Source organism: Homo sapiens, chromosome 6 (genome assembly GCF_000001405.40).
Source record: "Homo sapiens chromosome 6, GRCh38.p14 Primary Assembly".
Classification (NCBI taxonomy): Eukaryota; Metazoa; Chordata; class Mammalia; order Primates; family Hominidae; genus Homo; species Homo sapiens.
Window position 1 is genome coordinate 16145797 of NC_000006.12, and position 20046 is coordinate 16165842.

The 20046-nt window shown below is 43.0% G+C and overlaps 1 protein-coding gene and 2 pseudogenes across 21 annotated transcripts in view; 2 read left to right on the forward strand and 1 right to left on the reverse strand.

Annotated features, from left to right (window-relative positions):
- MYLIP (myosin regulatory light chain interacting protein) overlaps window positions 1–18091 on the forward strand; it is a 34802-nt gene extending 16711 nt beyond the window's left edge. For 3 of the 21 annotated variants that reach the window (NM_013262.4, NM_001436627.1, XM_005249033.4), the window contains one exon: window positions 866–2452. In NM_013262.4, the coding sequence (NP_037394.2) occupies window positions 866–955 (90 nt within the window). In that variant the 3' untranslated portion in view covers window positions 956–2452. Of the gene's footprint in view, window positions 1–865; window positions 2453–5077; window positions 10581–15389 lie in introns of those variants that run through there. The other 18 variants (XR_007059250.1, XR_007059256.1, XM_017010789.2 and 15 more) reach the window with 16 other exon arrangements.
- Window positions 2569–2649, reverse strand: LOC124901514 (uncharacterized; annotated as a pseudogene).
- On the forward strand, window positions 15138–16871 carry PERPP3 (PERP pseudogene 3; annotated as a pseudogene).
- Window positions 18092–20046: the final 1955 nt, after the last annotated feature.

The following is a 20046-nucleotide window of genomic DNA, read 5'->3' on the forward strand; positions in this document are numbered from 1 at the left end:
CCTCAAGGGCATATGGGTTGGCTGTTATTTATTAGCAAGTCAAACTAATTTTAATATTAACACGAAAAAGAGAACTCACATATAGTTTTCTTCCTTTCTTGCATGAAGAAGAATTTTAAATTTCCTCTTACAAGTTTTTTCAATTTGTTTTTATTTCTCAGATGTGTTTGCCAAATGTCACTGTGGTTTTATGTAAAACTGGTTCTAGATAATACTTAGTCCTTCAGAAGCTGCTAATTTCAGAGCTAATAAGACCAAATGACCCCTGTGTCCTTTCCCCAGAAGCAGTCATAGGCTTGTCTTTTTCTGCCCACCTATTCTGACTCTCATCCCTAAGTCTCTCCTGAGGGCTGATGATGGGCACGGGCTTTCTGAGAAGTCAGCCAGGAATGTGGAGCTGCCACCTACGGCTAGAAGCAGAGCCACCCTCCCTGGCCATGTGGGCATCAGCCCAGAAATGTTGGCCTGAGTCAGTCAGCTGAGCTAAGGACACACAATTTCAAGAAGGGTCTCCTGCATTGCTGCCTGAAGTGTTATAGTCTACTCATGTAGAGACCACATTCTGCACAGAAAGACGTCTTCAGTAATTGCTTTATTCAATGTACCTTCTTTAGCGTTTCACTAAAAATGTAATTAATTTCCTTCAGTTTATACTATGTCATAGTATTTATTTTTAAGCCCTTGTAAAGTATAAACTTTCAACCTGTGAGACGGCAAAGATCTCTACCAATTGAAAGCTAGAAATCACTGTGATCACAATTGATTTAGAAAATTAAATGCACTAGAGACCAGGGGTGTGCACAGAGACACAGGCCCCCCACCGAGGCTTGCATGCTAACAGAGACTGTTGGCTTTTCTTTCCCAGTCATGTCCCGTCTGCAGGTCGCGTGTGGAGCATGTCCAGCACGTCTATCTGCCAACGCACACCAGTCTTCTCAATCTGACTGTAATCTAATCTGTTGTGCTTTTGTTGGACTTGGCATGTTTCCATGAACTGCACTATTATAAACTATTAAAATGATAGATTGTGGAGAAAGTAATTATTCCAACACCCATCTGCCATGCGATGTTAAAAAAAAAAAAAAGGAAGAAAAATAACACAGCTACTCCTCACTGCAAAAACATATCCATGCGTAGAATCAACAACTCCAGTCATGGGACCAGGAGGAGCTCTGGGACGCAGACACATTCCTTGGATGTTGATTTTTTTTATGATCTAGTAAAGGAATAGGTAAAGTCTTTGATGTCAGTGAAGTGGCAACATAGCCAAAAAGTTGGGTACCTTTTAGGAAATGATGTTGTAAGTCTCCTTAATGTATCCTGAGGTAAGTTTCCTACTGGCAGCAGATTTTGTAAGAATTACTTTTAAGAATTTCATTCTTTTTGTATGGTCATGGAGCTCCAACCATTTTTAATAGGAAAGTCTTTTGTAAATTGTTGTCGTTTTAATGTCATTTCTGTCTTTATAACTTGATCAAGAATGATTGGAAGGCAAACAGGTTTACAAATCAATTCTGTGACTTTTAAAAAGTTGACAATGTTGTCAGATTTAAACCAGTGTGGCTAGTAAAAAGCAGCTCACTCAATGTGGGTGGCTCCCTATTCCTTTACGCTCCCCCTATCCCTACCCCACAAGCCTTTCGATTATAAAATACTACCAATCTTGTTATAAGATTACTGTGGAGTAGTCAAGTACTCCCCGGGCCTTCTGAGCTGGTGGAATATTTTATTTCAGACTGAAAACAGAGAGCACTCTCCTTGGGAAGGGAAAGCGGAGCTTGCTGAGTGAGAGATGGAGCCTCATGGTGTACAACTGAGGGTAGTTAACTCATCACTTCTCCCAAGCACTCGATCCCAGCTTCACCCACTGGTGTTGCTTTGCTTGAACTGTTCAAGCCTTTTATAGCCTTACCATAAGTATTTAGATATGGTGTCCTTTTCTGTTTTTGGGGGGGGAGTTTTGTTGTGTTTTTTTAAAGTAAGTGCTTAAGTATTAACTTTGGGTTGTCCCCTCTGTATGTTTCGAAGGGGTTTTGGTTCTTTTTGCTTCTGTTTTCTTAAACATGTTTTCCACTCCCACTTGGGCATTTTGGAAGCTGGTCAGCTAGCAGGTTTTCTGGGATGTCGGGAGACCTAGATGACCTTATCGGGTGCAATACTAGCTAAGGTAAAGCTAGAAACCTACACTGTCACTTTACTGAGATTTCTGAGTATACTTTTCATATTGCCTTAATGTAGCAGTAATGTGTTTATGCATTTGTTTCTTTGCACAGACATTTTGTCAAATATTAAAACTCTACTTTTTTATGGCACATATTAGCATATAAGCCTTTATTCCAAGAGGTATTTATTTTTTCACTTGTAAAAAAATAATGTTTCCACGTAAAGAACTCTGTTATATCCTAGAGGACTCTGTCTTTTATATTCGGGATAATAAAGACTTTAAAGCAAACATGGATGTGTGTATTGTCATTTAAGCCAGTTTTATTTCATTTCAAAGAAATAAGCAAGGGGTAACATCACAGTTAGTATCTACTTTCCTCCTACCGGGAATTTAATTTTTTTTTTTTAATAATTTCGGTGCTCTACAAATTCAGAGAAACTTCTTTAGTAACAAACTATAGAAATGATCCTTGAGAGTATAGTCTTTTTTTTTTTTTTTCAAGAAAACTTGAAAATATTTGTGGTATTGGTTCTAATGGAGATCACTTCACCAGGTTATTCTCTTATTTATGTCTTTGGGTGGTTAGATTGGTATGTAGGGGAAAATGGGGTCATGAACATAAGCAGATGAAAAGAAAAAATCAGGACAAGTACTGGAAGCTATTGGAGAAGGAAGGAAGTGGCAAAGCTGGAAGTTAACAATTAACAACCCAGCTGGTGCTGCTGGTGTGTGGCCTGCTCAAGACAGGGGAGTGGCCTGGGTCATAGCAGTAAGGGCCTCGGGCTACAGAAGCTCGGGCTGTATTCCTGCAGGACTGCTGGTCTACTCCTGCTAGGTCCTAACTGCTCTATGCTTGCCAGTGTGTGCTCATCTGTGTTTCTCCAGAAATACATTTTGGAATAGAGAATATTGTACATAATATATATAAGTGATAATTATCTGTAGCAATTGGAAGAAGTAAATTTATTTTTTTTAATTAGAGGCAGGGGTATTTGTTTTTACTGTACCTATAACCTAAGTCAATCTTCCATCAATTTCTAGGAATTAACTAATTTGTTCATTCAACACATTTATTGAAACCTACTAAGTTATTGAGCCCTGGAAATTTAGCAGTCATCAAGACATAAATGATTCTGGATGCCTGTATCATGTACTTAGCCTGTAACGTGTACTTTTGTCTCTGCGCGGAAGTTAGATAATATGCAGAATCCACGAATACTAGCATCAGAGGGAGTCTTGGGCATACCAGTATCAAAATGCTAACCAAGTTGATGGAGGGATGGATGGATGACAGGCTGACAGATAAGATTACATATTATTCACCCCACTAGACCATATGGACGCCTTAAGCTCAGTGACTAACATGAAAACCACTATATTACATGGTGGCATCATAGAATTAGAAGGGAAGAACAGTGGAGGCACAGGAGGCAGGGATTCATTGTGCTTAGGAGCCAAGGATAAAGGTGCTTCATAAAAGATCTGAGCAGATCCTTGACATTCTAGTTGGAAAAAGAAAGTGCATAGCCCATGCCAGGGCTGGAGCACAGTCTGCTGGGGCTGGCCCACCCGCTGCATGTCAGTGAACTGGTAAGAAATTGGGCTCTGAAGGAACATGTGATGTAGAGTCACAGTGGTGGGGAATCTTGAATTCCAGGTTTAACATGGACATGGTTCTCCACTGCCTTCAGAACAAGGAACTTTTGGGACGGGGTAGCAATCAGATCTGGTTCTTGCACAGAGAAGAAGTCCAAGAGCAGAAAGAGAACAGTGGCAGAGAACTCAATTTTGACCATCTGTCAACATGAAAAGAATGAGACAGAGTCAAAATACTTTAGAAATATGGTCAGCATTACTGAGAGAGACAAGTCGTATGAAAATCCTGTTTCTGACTTGGAATAGATAGCCTTTAATGGAGGGACAAAAAAGGGAGCAAGTCCTGAAAGTAGAAAGGAAATTACAACAGGGTTTGGCCACACATTTGAGATGCTTGGTGATGGGCAAACCTGGAGGTAGTTGAAAGCGTGGGTTGGAACTTCCAGAGGATGATGAAGATAAAGAGAAACATTTGGTGGCCATTACATTTCACTGATATTTGAAGACATGACAACTTAGAAGTCATCCATAGGAGTGTGAAAGGAGGGAAAGAATGAAGCTGAGCATGCGTCCCTGAAAGGACCCACATCTAAAGTGAACAGCGAGACTATGAAGGTATTTGAGAAAGAACCGACAACAGGATAGGGATAACGAGGGGCAGAAAGCTAAGCCAGGAGACAGCTGCAAAGAGGCGGTCAGCTGTGTTAGGACTGCTGCAGGGTCAAGGAGGGGAGTATCAAGAAAGCCATAACATGTGGCAGTATGAGGAAGTGTCAGGGCTTAAGAAAGAGTGGGTGCATTTTCAGAAGTGAGGGGATACTAAGAGGTTACCAGATTGTAGTGAGCTGAGTACAAATGTGAGGTGAGGATGCGGAAGTGGTCAGTCAAGGAGATGGCACCATAGGAGAAGGCAGGGCCACGAGAAGTGTTTTGACTTTGGGTTTTAAATAGGAGGCCCTGTGTAGGCATAGAGGAGAGGAGGGCCTCTCCTATGCACTACAGTGGTGCATGCTTGTAGTTCCAGCTACTCGGAGGCCGGGAGGCGAGAGGATTGCTTAAGACCAGGAGTTCAAGAAGAGAGGGTGAACGAAGATTCAGCTAAGGGGCCAAAAGAGGAATAAATGGAGAGCCTGGATCTTTGGAACACTGGAGAAACTGAAGACTCAACAGGCGGATCTGCCAAAGATAAAATTTACAAGACTTGAACAAAATCATTCTTTGGTCTTTTTATTAAGGGTTTCAAAAATCAGTGAAAAAGGGAGTTATTCCCATCCTACCCCATTCCAGTATGTTTATTGTATATTTATCTTGTCACAGGATGAGCTCGAATGCAACGCTGGGAAGTTCTGGGGGGAAGTGTCCCCTTAACTCTGCCATTGAACACCAAGGATCAGACGCCCCACAGGAGAGCACGCATGGGTAAAAGCATGAGCTCTTCCAAGAACAATATGAGAAAAAAGGTATGCCCCGTAGAACAGGTGTGGGGAAATTTCCAAACACATGCATTAGAAAAAGTGCAGCGGTGGCTCACGCCTGTAACCCCAGCACTTTGGGAGGCCGAGGCGGGTGGATCACGAGGTCGGGAGATCAAGACCATCCTGGCTAACACAGTGAAACCCCATCTCTGCTAAAAAAAAAAAAATACAAAAAATCAGCCAGGCACGGTAGCGGGTGCCTGCAGTCCCAGCTACTCAGGAGGCTGAGGCAGGAGAATGGTGTGAACCCAGGAGGCAGAGCTTGCAGTGAGCCGAGATCGCGCCACTGCACTTTGGACTGGGCGACAGAGTGAGACTCCATCTCAAAAAAAAAAAGAAAAAAGAAAAAGAAAAAGTGCATGCACACGTCACCACGTTTGCATGTGCGCCTGAAGGAGGGGTCCAAGGGATATTTGTGTGTTTGGAGAGCCTAAAATAAATTAGGAAGGTTGAAGTTTTTAATACCATCTGACCAAGCAATGGGGAAAAGTACCTAAGTGGAGTTTAAGCACCATCTGAATTTCAGACAAAAACACAATCATTCTTGTCTTTTTCACTGCTTTTCACATTTAGTGTCTTCTCATAGAAATTCCAAAACATTGCAGATTACTTATATTCATATCTGTAGAGTCTTCTTGAAATTCATTTATTCAAAAACTGCAGGATATTAAAGAGTTAGCCCTATGCCTCTTAAAAACAAAACTATGTCAGGACCACACAAATGATACAGATTGAACAGACCTGCCGGTTGCTTAGAGAAAAAATACACTTTAAGCAAAAGCTAAACATCTGTTGTTCATAAAGCTTGCCATAGTGCTAAGGGCAAGAAAAACTTAAAGGGGGAAGCTCTTTTTTCTATCAAGGAGTGATTCTTCTAGTTGAGAAGAAGGTATCTATATGAAACAAAAAGATAAGCAGTTCTAAAACCACACATAATGAATATGTAGATATATGTATATTACATATGTATTCTTGTATGAATGGATGCCAGTGAATGGAGGAGGACTTCTTAAAGTGGGTAAGTTGTTCTTTGTCTTGAAGTAAGTACAGGATTTGGATTGATGGAAAGGGAAAGCATGAGAATGCAAAAGAGCCCACAGACGAGGAGCAAAGGGTACAAGAGAGGACAGAAGTAGAGCCAGTTCATGAAGAGACATGACTGCTGGAATAAAAATTTCAGCTTTGCTTTGATACGTATGTGAAAGCTACAGTAAGGAGTTTATACGTTTGATTCATTTGGCCTTTTATTCCTTAACTTGGGCATTGATTTATTAATTCAGCAAGTGCACATTACATACCTAGAATATATCAGGCTCTCCGTTAGGGCTAGGGCAGTGGTTCTGGTTCAGGGGCAATATTGGCCCCCAGGAAGCACTGAGCAATGTCTGGAGATGTTCTTCAAGGGTCACAATGCGGGTAGGTGACTACTGGCATTTAGTGGGTAGAGGGCCCAAATGCTGCCAAACCTCCTAAAATGTACAGTATAACACCCCCTACAGCAAAGAATATTGACATTTCTGGCCCAAAACATCAGTATTGCTGCTGTTGAGAAACCCTGGGCTGCATGGTACAGATATCTGAGATGTAGTTCTTGCCTGCTCTGGGATTCCAAGGGCAGTGGAAGCTGTAAACTAATAATTCCACTCTACTAAGTTCTACAATCAAAGCAGGTATCAGGTGCTGTGGAAGAGCAGAAGATTTGCCACTCACTTTGCTTCAGGTTGGAAGGTTTTCTGGAGGAAGGTTGCATTGGAGAGGAGTCTTGGAAGGTGAGCCAGAGCTTGCCAGGTAGGGAAGGTGGGTGGAAGGAGCCAGTTCAAAAATGTAGCATATTTGGGGACCAGTGGGCAGTTTGGCATGACTGAAATACAGGGTATGTGGTTGGATGGGTTGGGATGAAATAATGGGAGATGGGGTTGGGGAGTTAGGTTGGAATCTTATCCAGGAAGGTGCTAGAGGCCCTGGTAACCCCTACTCCCAGCCCTACTGATAAGGTCAGTGTCCACAAAGATCATAAAAGGGAATCAAGAAGTGCTGGGTTCCTCAGTTCTGTTCACTGCACTCTTTTCTCTTGTCCATAGATCTTACTTCCTAGCCTGGGCTCTGCCAAGCATGTGTCCTCTGAGTTTTTAGTAAAGGTAATAGCAAAATAAAACCATTGCTAGTAATGTGCCCTAGAGATGGGAGCTGTCAGGTAATCATTTAGAATTTAAAAGCTCGTCTCCACATTCCTTCAGATGAAGAAAACGGTAGGATAAAAATATAGCACAGCTTATTAGTAACATCTTACCCATTTTTTCCCTAAATGGTTAGAACATGCTGCCTTTCCCTGCTCTTTACATCAGCGTTTCCGTTATTAAAGCTATTTTTCAGTTCTAAATCCTAGGAGGATTTTCCCCATGAATTTAACATGACTGAGGAAACTTGCTCCAGGGTAAAACTTTGCTGCAAATTATCTGAGATAGGCTTCTTAATAAAGAGAGGAAAAATGAATCATAGCCTTGTAGTAGTTTCAAATGTGGAGTTACCTTTCTCCTTCATCCCCACTATCATGATTATTCATAATAGACATGGGCCAGCTTTATAAATAATTACACACAACAAAAGTCCTTTGTGTTCAACACTGGAGGCTGCTGCTGATGCGGGCCAGGAGAGTGTGTGTGCCAGAGTTAGGGGAGAGAGCGCGAGAGCCAGGCAAAGCTGCTGTGTCTAAACTTCTCAAAAGGTCATCCCTACATATGAGGTGTGACACCCCTAGACTCAGGCAGCACGTTTTGAAATGGGACTCGGGTTACCTGTTCAAGCTGAAGTCCCTACAAATGTATAGCCATGACTTTCCTGGTCTTTAGATATTATATAGGCTCTTCTAAATGCAAGTGTAACTTACACAAATGAACAATTATACTGGAAAAGGAAACTATTAAAGCAGCTTATAAATCCCTCCCAGCACCCTCTCTTCTCCTCCCTTGCTGCAGGACAAAGGGTAAGCCATACCCCTATGCTTTTGTCTGTGGGAGCCATGAACCCCACCTCTACTTCAGTAATAGATGCTAAAGAGCTTTTCCCTCTTCATATCACCTCTATGTTTGAAAGCTCTTTCTCCTTTTAAAAAAATTAATTTTTCTTTTTTTTAAGGAGATGGAGGAGTCTTGCTATGTTGTCCAAGCTGGCCTCAAACTCCCAGACCTCAGCGTCTCGAATAGTTGCGACTACAGGAACATGCCATCTTTCTCCTTTTAAGAAGAAGCCATGCCTCCCCTCTCCCCTCTGGTATTTAACCTAAATTTACATGCTGTACCTAAGGATCTTTGGTGGAGTCCCTGAGCGGGTGGTTCTAAAGGCTTGATGGGAATTGGTTCATTTCATTCTCACAACATGCCCGTGAAGCAGAGATTCTCCTTGGCCTCATTTTACAGATGAGGACCTCAGGCACAGAGAGCTGGAGTGACTTGCTCAAGGTCACAGAGCTGGAAAGAGGAGAGCCAGGAGTCACACGCAGGGCTCCAAGTGTTCCCCCCAACCCACCCACAGCACTGCTTCTGAGGGGCAGCCTTACACATGGCCCGGGATGCTCCAAAAGGTTGACCTTACCACAGACCATCCGAAGGGACAAAATGGCCAGTACACTTGTTCTCTTTGTTTTTGTTTTGCTTTGCTTTTAAGGAGTGTGACTAACAGCCCAAACCCTCTCCACTAGTGCCCTGGAGTTTGAGGGTACAACCTTTGATTGCACCAGTCAGTCCTCATTAATGAGGGCTCTTAGGCTTCCCCCTTTGCACAGCCCCATCCCAGCCCAGGAAGCCATTTTACAGCAATATATGTGTATATATTAATTACCACGCATTTTTATGGGGAAAACACCTTAAATAAACAGTGAGAAGGCAGACAGGTAAAATCAAATAGGATAACAATTCTGGGATCTCCAGTGCTCTATTTGACTCACTGAAAGGACTGTGGAAATCAACTGGAGGCCTTCACTCCTGGCAAGCCTTCACAGTTTCAGAGTTTCCATGTTATTACTCATCTCCTTGCTGGCCCTTCTCCTCCCAGCTTTGAATTTCCACCACTAAGCTCTAGGGAAAGAACAAGAGCTGTGGGCTAGTCAGGCCTTAGTGGGGAGGCAGAGAATTCATGCACATCCTTCAGCTGTGCAGCGGACCCCCAAGGGCAGCTCCTGTTCCAGGCCCACACCCACCGGGAATCTGGCCAAAAGACCAGAGCCAACTCCACAAAGCATTTCTGAGAAATGGATATTTCACTCAAGGCTTTGAGGAAAGATTCTCATTATACAGGACATGTGGCAAAAAATATCCAAAACCCCCTACTTAAGCATCTCTGTTTCTCCCTTCCAGACACAATAAACAGCAACAAAGGGAGGGGCAAGGGAATGAATGACTAAAGGAAGGACAAAGTGGAAGAAGAGAAAGAACAAGGGAATGAAAAATACTTTTCTGTGAATGTAGGTGAACCAAGTATCTTCTCTGGCTGAGTTAGCAAAGGGGAATTCTATGGGGAGATGACAGTGAAGCGGGAAATTTCCCTGACCCCTTTGCAAGTGGGAACTGGAGTGCAGGCACTGGAGTTAGCCGGCTGCTTCGGCACTGGCAGGGGCGAACTCCACTCACTCGAACCCATTGCTCTCAGCTCCTCATGGGAGGGAATGCACAGGTGAGTGGATGCAGGAACTGGGGTGAGTGCTTTCAGGCACCAGCAGGAGCAAAACTTTGTGTGGGCCCCGTGGCAGCATCTAGTGGGGAGAACCTGTGATGCTGTCCATGGACAGCTTAAGTATTAAACAGCTCAGTGGGCCCTCTGCCTTTTTGCGTGAGATAGTTGCTTTCCACCAGCAAGGGTAGAAGGTCAGTGTGACAGCCTTTCTTTTCTGCACCTGTGGCACTGAGCTCTTGTTTGGTGTCCAGGAAAAATCAGGTAGCACGAACAAATTGAAGAGTGGTGAATGTGGAGGATTTTATTGCTGACGAAAGTGATGAAGGGAACCTGAAAAGGGGATGGAGTGGGAAGCTATGCTTTCAAGCCGTCCCTCTGAAGTCAAGCCTATCCCTCTGATGTCAAGCTGCTTCTCTCCAACATCCAGCTGCTTCTCCTCCCTCTGACAGCTGAGCCTGGGGTTTTTATGGGCACAAGACTGGAGGCAGGGTGGGCCATGGGTGGTTTTGGAAAAGTCAGCATTCCAGACAGAAAACAGAGATGTAAACTCTCACTTTGAGCCACAGGATTGGGCTTTTTGGCTTGAGGGTGGAGCCCTCACCAGGGACCCGACCTCTTCTGCCCAGAATTTCTCACCCTCCTGTCCCTATCAACGGTAAAATAAACATGTGAACATATTTGCTGCTTCTCTTCTCTTTATGGCTCTGCATTATTTATGAACCATGAAGGTAAATTTCAATGGCAGGAGAGTGAAGGTGGTGGACTTCTTTCCAAAATTTCTCTGACCATCTCTATGCAATTTGCCAAGAGAAGGAAGACACAAGCTGCACCTCTTACTGCAGGCCTTACTGAGGCTTTATGGAGGAAATCAATTACAAGTTATCCATAAAGCTTTGGGGCACCCAAGTTGCTCAACTACAGCTATAAAAGGAGGATAAGTCTATCTGGCAGAGCCTCAGTTTACTGTACTAGAACTTGAATATCCGTGGCTTGGGAATAAAGGAATGATCACATTTGAATGCAAATGTCTAGGGAAAGCAGATATAGCTTGTTATCTTGAATAATCTGAGTAATATGACAATGCCACCTGTTACCTAATGAAAACCAAAGACTGTCCTTACCTCAATGCCCTAGGTGCCAGCTACAAGGGCCAGTATCATTCCAGGTGTCTTCCTGCGTATGGACAAGCCTTTCTTCTGCCAGTCTTGCATCTGCAAACACATCTGCTCAGGGCACTCCCTGTGCAAAACACTCAGTAACTCCCCACTGCATGCAGAGTTCAACCCATACTCCTCAGCCTGGCAGTAAAAATCTTTCTTCACTTAACATCCACATGACTTTCCATCTCAGGTCCCTGTCCCACCTGCCATCCCACCCACTGTTGAGGCTGGCATCAGCTACTCAGCTCCCTGAATGTGCTTTGCATCCCCCTCTCTCCTCACTCCTGGACCATTGCTGAAATGTTTCAGATGCTTAGGGAGCGCTTTTCCCTTGCTTCCCTTCACAGCAGCAATATTCACCTGACCTAAACATTCTTCAGGGGCCAGCTTAAATCTCACTACTTGCCAAATTATTCCATGCAAAATCAATTTCTTCCTCCATTGTAATACCATGGCACTTTGAACCAACACATACCATCAGAGGTGTGTATGTGTGTTTCATGCATATGCCTAGATTACAATAGTTCCTTCATAGCATTTATCACTATCTGGCTTACTATACATTTACTTATGTATTTTTTATTGTCTGTCTCCTCTTCCAGAAAGTATAAAAATTTTGTATGTTTTGTTTATTACTGCATCCCCAATGCCTAGAACATTGCCTAGCAGATAGTAAAGGCTCAATAGATGAATGACTCATAGGAGCCTAGAGATCCCAGACTGTCTTGCTCATCTCTCCATCACCCCAGAGTGGCTGGCAAAGTGCTTTGCACATGCTTCTTGGATCTGACTGGATTGAAGAGCCGGCCACCTGGGTTTGGCTATGTACATCTCCTCTGCTTTGAACAGAAGATATGGATTTAACTGCCAGTTACACAGCTGTGGGGCTGCAAGCCAGGCAGATGTGATGGGGGCTGAGACTCGTACAGGAAACTCCCAGGTTAACGGGCAGCCCTAATTGCTAAATCTAATTAGGAAGGAAATCAGTTAAATTAAGAATCCTTCATGTAAGAAAACCAAACAAAAAGCTGTTGGGCAAAATTTTTCATTCTTCATTCGCTTTAATCAGCTTCCTTGAAGAAGAAGGCAAGATAGCAGGATTTCAGCAGGAGTGTTTTATTGGGCCAAAAGTCATGCTCCCATGACTACAGAACCCCAAAAAGAAAGAACAACATGGTCTTTGGCCACTAGGATCCTCTTTGACATGTGCTCTGGAGGAAGCTGCTGTGTCACCTTTCCAAAGAGCCTACGGATTATCGCTGTGAAAGCTCAGGCTGTCAGGTTTGAATCGTTGCCAACAGGCTTGCAATGTGAAGGGCTGATCCTCTTAATTGAGCAAAAGCACACCGTCCCCGCCACTGAAGCAAGCGACGCAGAGGCACCGTGCAATTCACCTCTACTGCTGAAGCAGTTACTTGTGTGGTCTTCAGTCGTTTGGTCCGAAAAGACAGATATTTTTCTCAGTATTTGCGACTTTAATGTGTTTGCATCATCATCTTCTGCAGCACCTTAAGTATCACAGAGCTGCTGCTTTATTTTTTTCCTGAGGAACCCATCAGATATATATGAAAACAAAGAGATACGATAATATGAACATCCCTAAGAATTACCATCGATACCAACAGGATTGATATATGTGAAAAACTATATATACATCTATACAGTATATTCAAGGCATATATTCAGGAAGCAGAGTGGTCACTTCAGCATCATCTCCATCAGGATTCTAGGTCAGCTCTTTCACAAACCTTGTGAATTGGGACAAGTCGAATAAGCTCTCTAAACTTTGACTTCCTCAACTGTAAAATAGGAATAAAGATAATACATGTTCAACCCCGTCTCTACTAAAAAATACAAAAAATTAGCCGCGCGTGGTGGCGGGCACCTGTAGTCCCAGCTACTCGGGAGGCTGAGGCAGGAGAGTGGCGTGAACCCGGGAGGCGGAGCTTGCAGTGAGCCGAGATCGCGCCACTGCACTCCAGCCTGGGCGGCAGAGCAAGACTCCGTCTCAAAACAAAACAAAACAAAACAAAACAAAGATAATACCTGTTCATGGTCATTTTTTGAAGATTAAATGAGATAATGCCGTAAAGCACTTAACACTGTGCCCAGAATATAGTAACCACTCCGTCAATGTTGACTGAATACATTAATAGGCTGCCAGGCATCCTCCAACCACTGACCCAGACTGGCTACATTTCTGAGACAATGGGGCTTATTCTCATCCTCAAAACAACTGGGTCCTGAGGCTATGTTTACAGCTGTGCTGGTTGCACCCTGTACAACCCTAAGAAGCATCATTCAAAGTTTATGCCTCAAGGATCTAGATATTGACTATTACAATTTTACAGCATATTATAACAATTTCCCAAGAGATGGAAATAAAGCATCGTGAGGAGTGGGGAGACTTTCTCCACTTTGCACAAAGGCACTCTACAAACAAGCCCTGGCCCTGGGCAGTAAAGACAAGCATTGGCGCCAGCTCCCTGGAAGAAAGCAACTCGAGTTAGATGACTGTTGTTTTAGCCACAGTTGGGCCCTTTCATGGGACTCTAAACACTGTAAGTATTGTGGAACAGGGCTCAAAAGCTGCTCTCGCTGGACGGTCTTTTTGGTTTGGAAAAGTTAGCTAACTGTGTTTGCTGTCCTTCTTATAATTATTATCTTATTTTACTAGATTCTTTGTTATGTCCAAGCAGTCTGTTGTGTTCAAACACAGTGACAGTATCTGTTCATCAGCACCGTCCACCTGCCATAATAATGATCAAAAGGCCACCCAAGCTCCCAGCACACCATCCTGAATCCAGCCAGTCCTGCCTGGAATAAGGCTGTCTGCAAACTCAGCCTTCCTCTTTGGAATAGGGACATGTCCTGAATGTGGACAGAAGACCTGAATACCCCCAGGCTGACTAGCTGAGGGTCAGCAAGAAGGATGGGCAGAATAAAGCAAGGAATGTGAGCCCAGGGGATCGAAAGAAACCATCGGGGCTACCACCACGCAGCAACCAGAGATGGGCGTCTGGAATGGTCACCTGAGCAAGGGGCCCCGGGAGATACAAATAGTCATAAGGACACAGCAGGCCACAGCTCCAGAGTGGGAACCTCTCCCTTCTTCAAACCCTGACAATATGCTGTCCCTAGCTCCCTATATTAGATTTAGGCATTGCCTGCTCACCCTCCTGGAAGTTTGTTCATACAAACGTGTAAGAACAATGACTCTGCCCTCCCTCTTACTTGTTTCTACCACAATAGTAAATCCATGCTGGTTGAGCATAAACCTATCCACTCTCTTCCATCCTGTACATTTCTCTGTCTTCATTGTAGTGGTGGTGGTCACACAACTCTATGAATTTGTCAAAACCCTAGAGCCATATATACCACAAAGAGTGAATATTACTGTGCGCAAATTAAGAGAGGGGGGTTATGGCAGACACTGTTGATTGCCTGCACAACAGCTCTTCTCCCTGACTCTGCTTCTGTTCTCACAAAATCCTGATTTTATTTTATTCAGCCTCCTTTAGGGGAGGCTGAACCTTCCCAGCCTCATAGGGATACATCTTGATTAATCTAAACCAATCGGGAATTCGATTCCTCCTGTCACGTATTGGTTTGGAAATGGCATTTGATAGGATTCTTGCCAATCTAAGGTGTGAAGGTCTGGGCCGGGTGCGATGGCTCACGCCTGTAATCCCAGCACTTTGGGAGGCTGAGGCAGGCAGATCTCTTGAGGCCAGGAGTTTGAGACCAGCCTGGCCAACATGGTGAAACCCCGTCTCTACAAAAAATACAAAAATTAGTCAGGCATGGTAGCGGGTGCCTGAAATCTCAGTTACTCAGGAGGCTGAGGTGGGAGAATTGCTTGAACCCAGGAGGCGGAGGTTGCCTTGAACCGAGATCATGCCACTGCACTCCAGTCTGGGCAACAGAGCGAAACTTAGAAAAAAAAATTAACTTAAAACATTTTTTAAATAAGATGTGAGGGTCTGGAAGCTTCTGCTCAGGTTCTCTTTACAAAGGGGCTTCACCTGGTTCTCTGCTGTCACCCGAGCCGATTATGCACCAGGGCCTGGTGGGGCTCCTGCTCTGCGCCATGGCCTTTGACATCATCATCACACCGGCTGGCAGGGGCTGGTTGCAGGCGAGTGACCACATCCACACATCCTCGCCGGAGTGGAGACGCTCCCACAAGTGTGGCCACCAGGGTCTCATGGGGGGAGACATGGTGAAGAGCGGCTGCTATGCTCCTCTGTGGCTCTATCACCCTCAAGATCTATTCCATCCTCTGCTTCTTTGCCCTCTATGGATCCCAAGCGCTTGTCTTCGTAGGAGTGACTAGAGCCTCTCGCTCTGGTTGCTGTGTTCCGAATCATCCTTCTGGTAATACACCCGTGAAATACACCCAGACCTTCAGCCTTCATGCCAAGCCTGCTGTCACATCTATTACTGGACCTACAGCTTCAGATGGGTGCCCACAATTATCCTGATCGGCTGTGCCTTCTCCTGCTGCTGCCTCCCAAACTGCGAAGATGACCTCCCGGACAACCTCAGACCAAGTACTTACATACATCACCTCAAGTGGGGAATGAGAGAGGAGGAAAATTGCTGGTGGGAAGATGGATTTGGAGGAAGGAACTAGTTGCAATCCATCAGAAGCCATGCTATACGATTAGAGCCCAGTTAAACTTGAGATGAAAATATCAAGCCGTTTTTAATCCTCAGGCTGTTTTCTTCAGGCTGCTTTGAACCTATTTTTTGGCAGTCGATATTACTAAACTAGTCGAAAATGCTAGCACAATTTGGGAGAAAATATTTCTTAAATACTGTTAGAGTTTCATGTTCATTTTTGATTTACGTTTTGTGAAGTTAAACACCACTCATTACCTATATTTGACAATATTTCCTTATATTATCCGTACAATTTATACCACATTTGTAAAAGAATATGAATATGAAACTTACCCCTTTATATAGTAAAAATGAGAAGGCTTTCAAGATTTAATAATCTGATCAAATTTTTGTTTTTACTAGATGGAATGGACTGTCTATTAAGGGCTAAGAAAAGGGAGATATTGGTAAAAATTGTCAGTTACCAAACATTCCAAAAAAATGCAAGAAGATAAACATTTTTGCAAGCCTTCAGATATTTAAAGAAGCAAAATAGTTTCCTACAGGCATAATATTTGTGAGAATTTGTAATTACTATCCTGAATAATTGATTTTTTGCTAAGCTTCACATTAACTTGAGGCATCACCTAGGAACGTATTCTTTCATGGCCAAGGCCTGTGTGGTAGTGAGGCCTCCTTAAGAAGTAAAATGTGAAAATGAAATTTCCTCTTTTGAAGTGGTTTATGGGGTGAGGATGTGGGAAAATGCTATATTAATAAATTCGTACTGTTTTATGTCTATATGTTCAGGCTCAGAGCAGACCAGACTGAAAGATGGACTGGGTCTAATTCATCATGATGATAGATTTGATTAGATTGTGTAGTGAAGCATTAGAAGGGCCATTCCTATCACAAAAAACACCATTCCAACAGCCTAGGAGTAAGAAATGGCTTGACTTTTGTTTTCATCTCAGGTTTAACTAGGCTCTAATTATATAAATACAGCTTCTGATAGATTGCAACTGTAAGCAAAAACCAACATATAGTTAAAAATGTGGTCTTCCTTGGTAAATAGATCCAAAATGTCTAATGTAAAACATGCAGCAGCAGATTTAAGGAATGTGAGTTTCTCTCAATGGCATATATATGATATATCCAGAGGATTTTTATATTGTTTGTACTTATATAATGAAATTCATTTTACTGCCGGGCATGGTGGCTCATGCCTATAATCCCGGCACTTTGGAGGGCCGAGGTGGGAGGATTGCTTGAGTCCAGGAGTTCTAGACCAGCCTGGGTAACACAGTGTGACCTCAACTCTAAAAAAAAAAAAAAAAAAAAGAAATTCATTTTATATATTGAATCATTATTTTGTAAGTTGTGAAATAAGCAATTGCAGTTTTCATTATGATTTTTCCCCAGTAACCAGGTATTCTAATTTTTAAAAAGAGCTAGAGGGCAGGGATTCAGAAAGATGACACGCCCTCTGCTTTTCCGGCTTTTGGCATTGTGTGAGGATGTAATGCATGGAGCTGCTAATGCAAGCTTGTGAAGATGAGGGGTGCTAGCGCATATGATGAGGATGGCAGACCTGATAGGTGGAAAGATCTAGGTCATCCTGACAACATTAAGCAGCTGAACTCACTGATCCCAGAGCCTCAGGCCACCCCACCCAGCCCTTACCATCTCCTGTCCTACTGCCATGGGAGGTAATACACTTTTTCCTTATTGTTGAAGCTGCTTTATTTGATTTTCCTATTACCTGCAGCCAAAAGCATTGTGATTAATACACTGGTCTCGTGCTGCTGGAAATGAATCATGCCTCCTGTAGGGTTGTATCCAACAACAGACACATGGCAGGTGTCTGTTATACCATCCACAAGATACAATGTGTTTGTTTTGCAGAAATTGTCTCTATCACCTGTGGGCTTTTGCTACCCATAGAGCTACTTGTACCTAATTCAACCAATAAAAATAATGCTAGAAACTGAAGCCAACAAAGCTGTCAAAATTTGTCTTGGGTTCTTGGGTTAGACAACTTGTTGAGATTTTATAATACATTTCCTTTTCTCTCCTCTTTTTCTAGGTTCTTTCCTGCTGGATGCGAAACACTCAATTATCACTTCCTCATGTGTGTAGTCTCCCTCACTGAGTCAGCTCTCACTGGGGCCTTCCCATGACTTGTTTGTTGTCTTTATCTGTCTGAAGCCTCATCTTCCTTTGACATTTATCTTCATCTGGAAATTCTATAATCTTCCTTTTCCTCTTGTCTTGATCTTACATAAAATCAACATTGTCCATTGAAAGTTATGTTTAAGAAGCATTGTTAACAAAACTATCATGAAGTCCCTTGTACCTTGTTAAAAACCACTGTATTCATAACTTTGTTGTTTTTTTCAAATATATTTTTCTCTGGATTGAAACTGCTTACCATTCAGGTCATTGGAAGTCTCTTCATTCCCATTAAACTCTTTTTCAGGTTTGACATCTTTGTCCTCTATTAACTCAACTTTGAGTATCTCCTTTTTAATCCAACAGAAAAAGCTCCTCCCCTATCCTTCCAGCCCCATGACTGTAAGATAAAAAATTTCCTGCTACAGGCATCTTGCAGGCAATGTGCCAGACAGGCAATGCATCAAACAGCCGACATTGATCAGAACTCAGCCCTTGTCATATATCTCTTCCTAAAATGCCTAGCAGAATAATTTGTTGAGTACATGCTCAATAACTTAAATTGTTTTGAATTAAATCAAATTAAAGTCTTACAGTCACTACTGGAGGGAGAACAGGCAACATGTATGAATTTTCACTGTTTTGGAGCACATGGAAAAGAACATCAATACTAGTAGCATCTCAAGATCCCAGTGGCTAGACCCAGCCTACACACGACAGTCAAAATTTACTATTTATGATGTGGATTATCTCATACTAGTCCATTGCTTCACTTTCTACTGACTGACACCTCTGGCACATTTCATCCTTTTTCTTCTTTTTCTTTTTTTAGAGACGGGGTCACCCAGGCTGGAGTACAGTGGCATAATCATAGCTCACTGCAGCCTCGCTCATGAACTCAAGTGATCCTCCCACCTCAGCTGACCAAATAGCTGGGACTAGAGGCATGCCCACCACACCCGGCTAAGCACCTTTGATTCTAATATTGAAAATATCATTATAAAATATCTAGTAGGTATGGATTAATGAATGAGTTAAATGGCAGATGTTTGACCCTAATAAGTAAAGGTTTCGGGACGCCAGGGAGATGGTAATATCTGGGATCTTCTTAGGCCTCATTACCAGGACATAAAGAAACAAAATGAAGTTTCTCAAAATGCCCATTTAATACATTATTTTTTATCGTAATAAACATACGGCCTTTTCAGATCTTATTTTTGTTCCTTCTATTGTTAGTCCTGAGTGTTTGCCTATGGTGACAGCCAGATTTCATTTCATTCATTCATTCATTTATTCATTCTGACCATCATCTGGGGGCCAAGCACTGTGGTGGGTACTCAGGGTGCACCAGTGAACAGAACAGACAAAGCCCTGCCCTCTTGGAGTTTACATTCTAGTGCAGGCAACATGGGAATATAATAAATCCATAAACTCAGGAAGAACTTAGTTCTTTTTAGATCAATAAGGCCTGACTGTGAACTGTGAACTGTGAAGGGACAGATTCCCTGAAGAGGTACCGAGACCTCATTTTAAAAGAAGACTTTTTATTTTTGGACATTCTTTAGATATTGACTTTTTCTGTTCTCTAGTAGAAGTATCTTGCAGCAAGGAATAGAAAGACTGAAGTCAATTGATGCGATATTAGGAAAGTCCTGTCTTTTGCTTCTCTGGGCCCCTGTGTGGACTTCTGTGAATGAAAGAATAAAAAACAAAGTGCTTTTCCTATGCTCTTACTCAACAACAATCAACACAGAAGACTTCTGTGACCTCTGGGCACGAAGAAGTTTGTGGAGATTTCTCCCAACCAGCAGCCAATCAATCAATCCAGCAGAGGACACTAGCTGGGTGTCCTCTTATTCAATTCAATTCTGATGCTATCTACCTGGAGACAGCATCAGATCCCACAGGTTGAGGGCTCAGTCCCACAAAACTGCCCTCCACCGCCCCAGGATCCTCTCCTTTTTTTAGGGTCCATTGATTAGCAACCTTAATTCTATATGGAACCTTAACTCCCCCCTGCCAAATGAGGGGGAAAAACACACCCAAAGCGTTCCCTCTATTCTCTCACTTAAACAATCAACACAGAAGACTCCTGTGACCCAATTGAGGAGGTGTTTTTCCCATCCACCAAGCAAGCAAACAATTCCTCAGTGGACACCAGCTGGGTGTCCTCCAATTCAATTCGATTCTGATGCTATCTACCTGG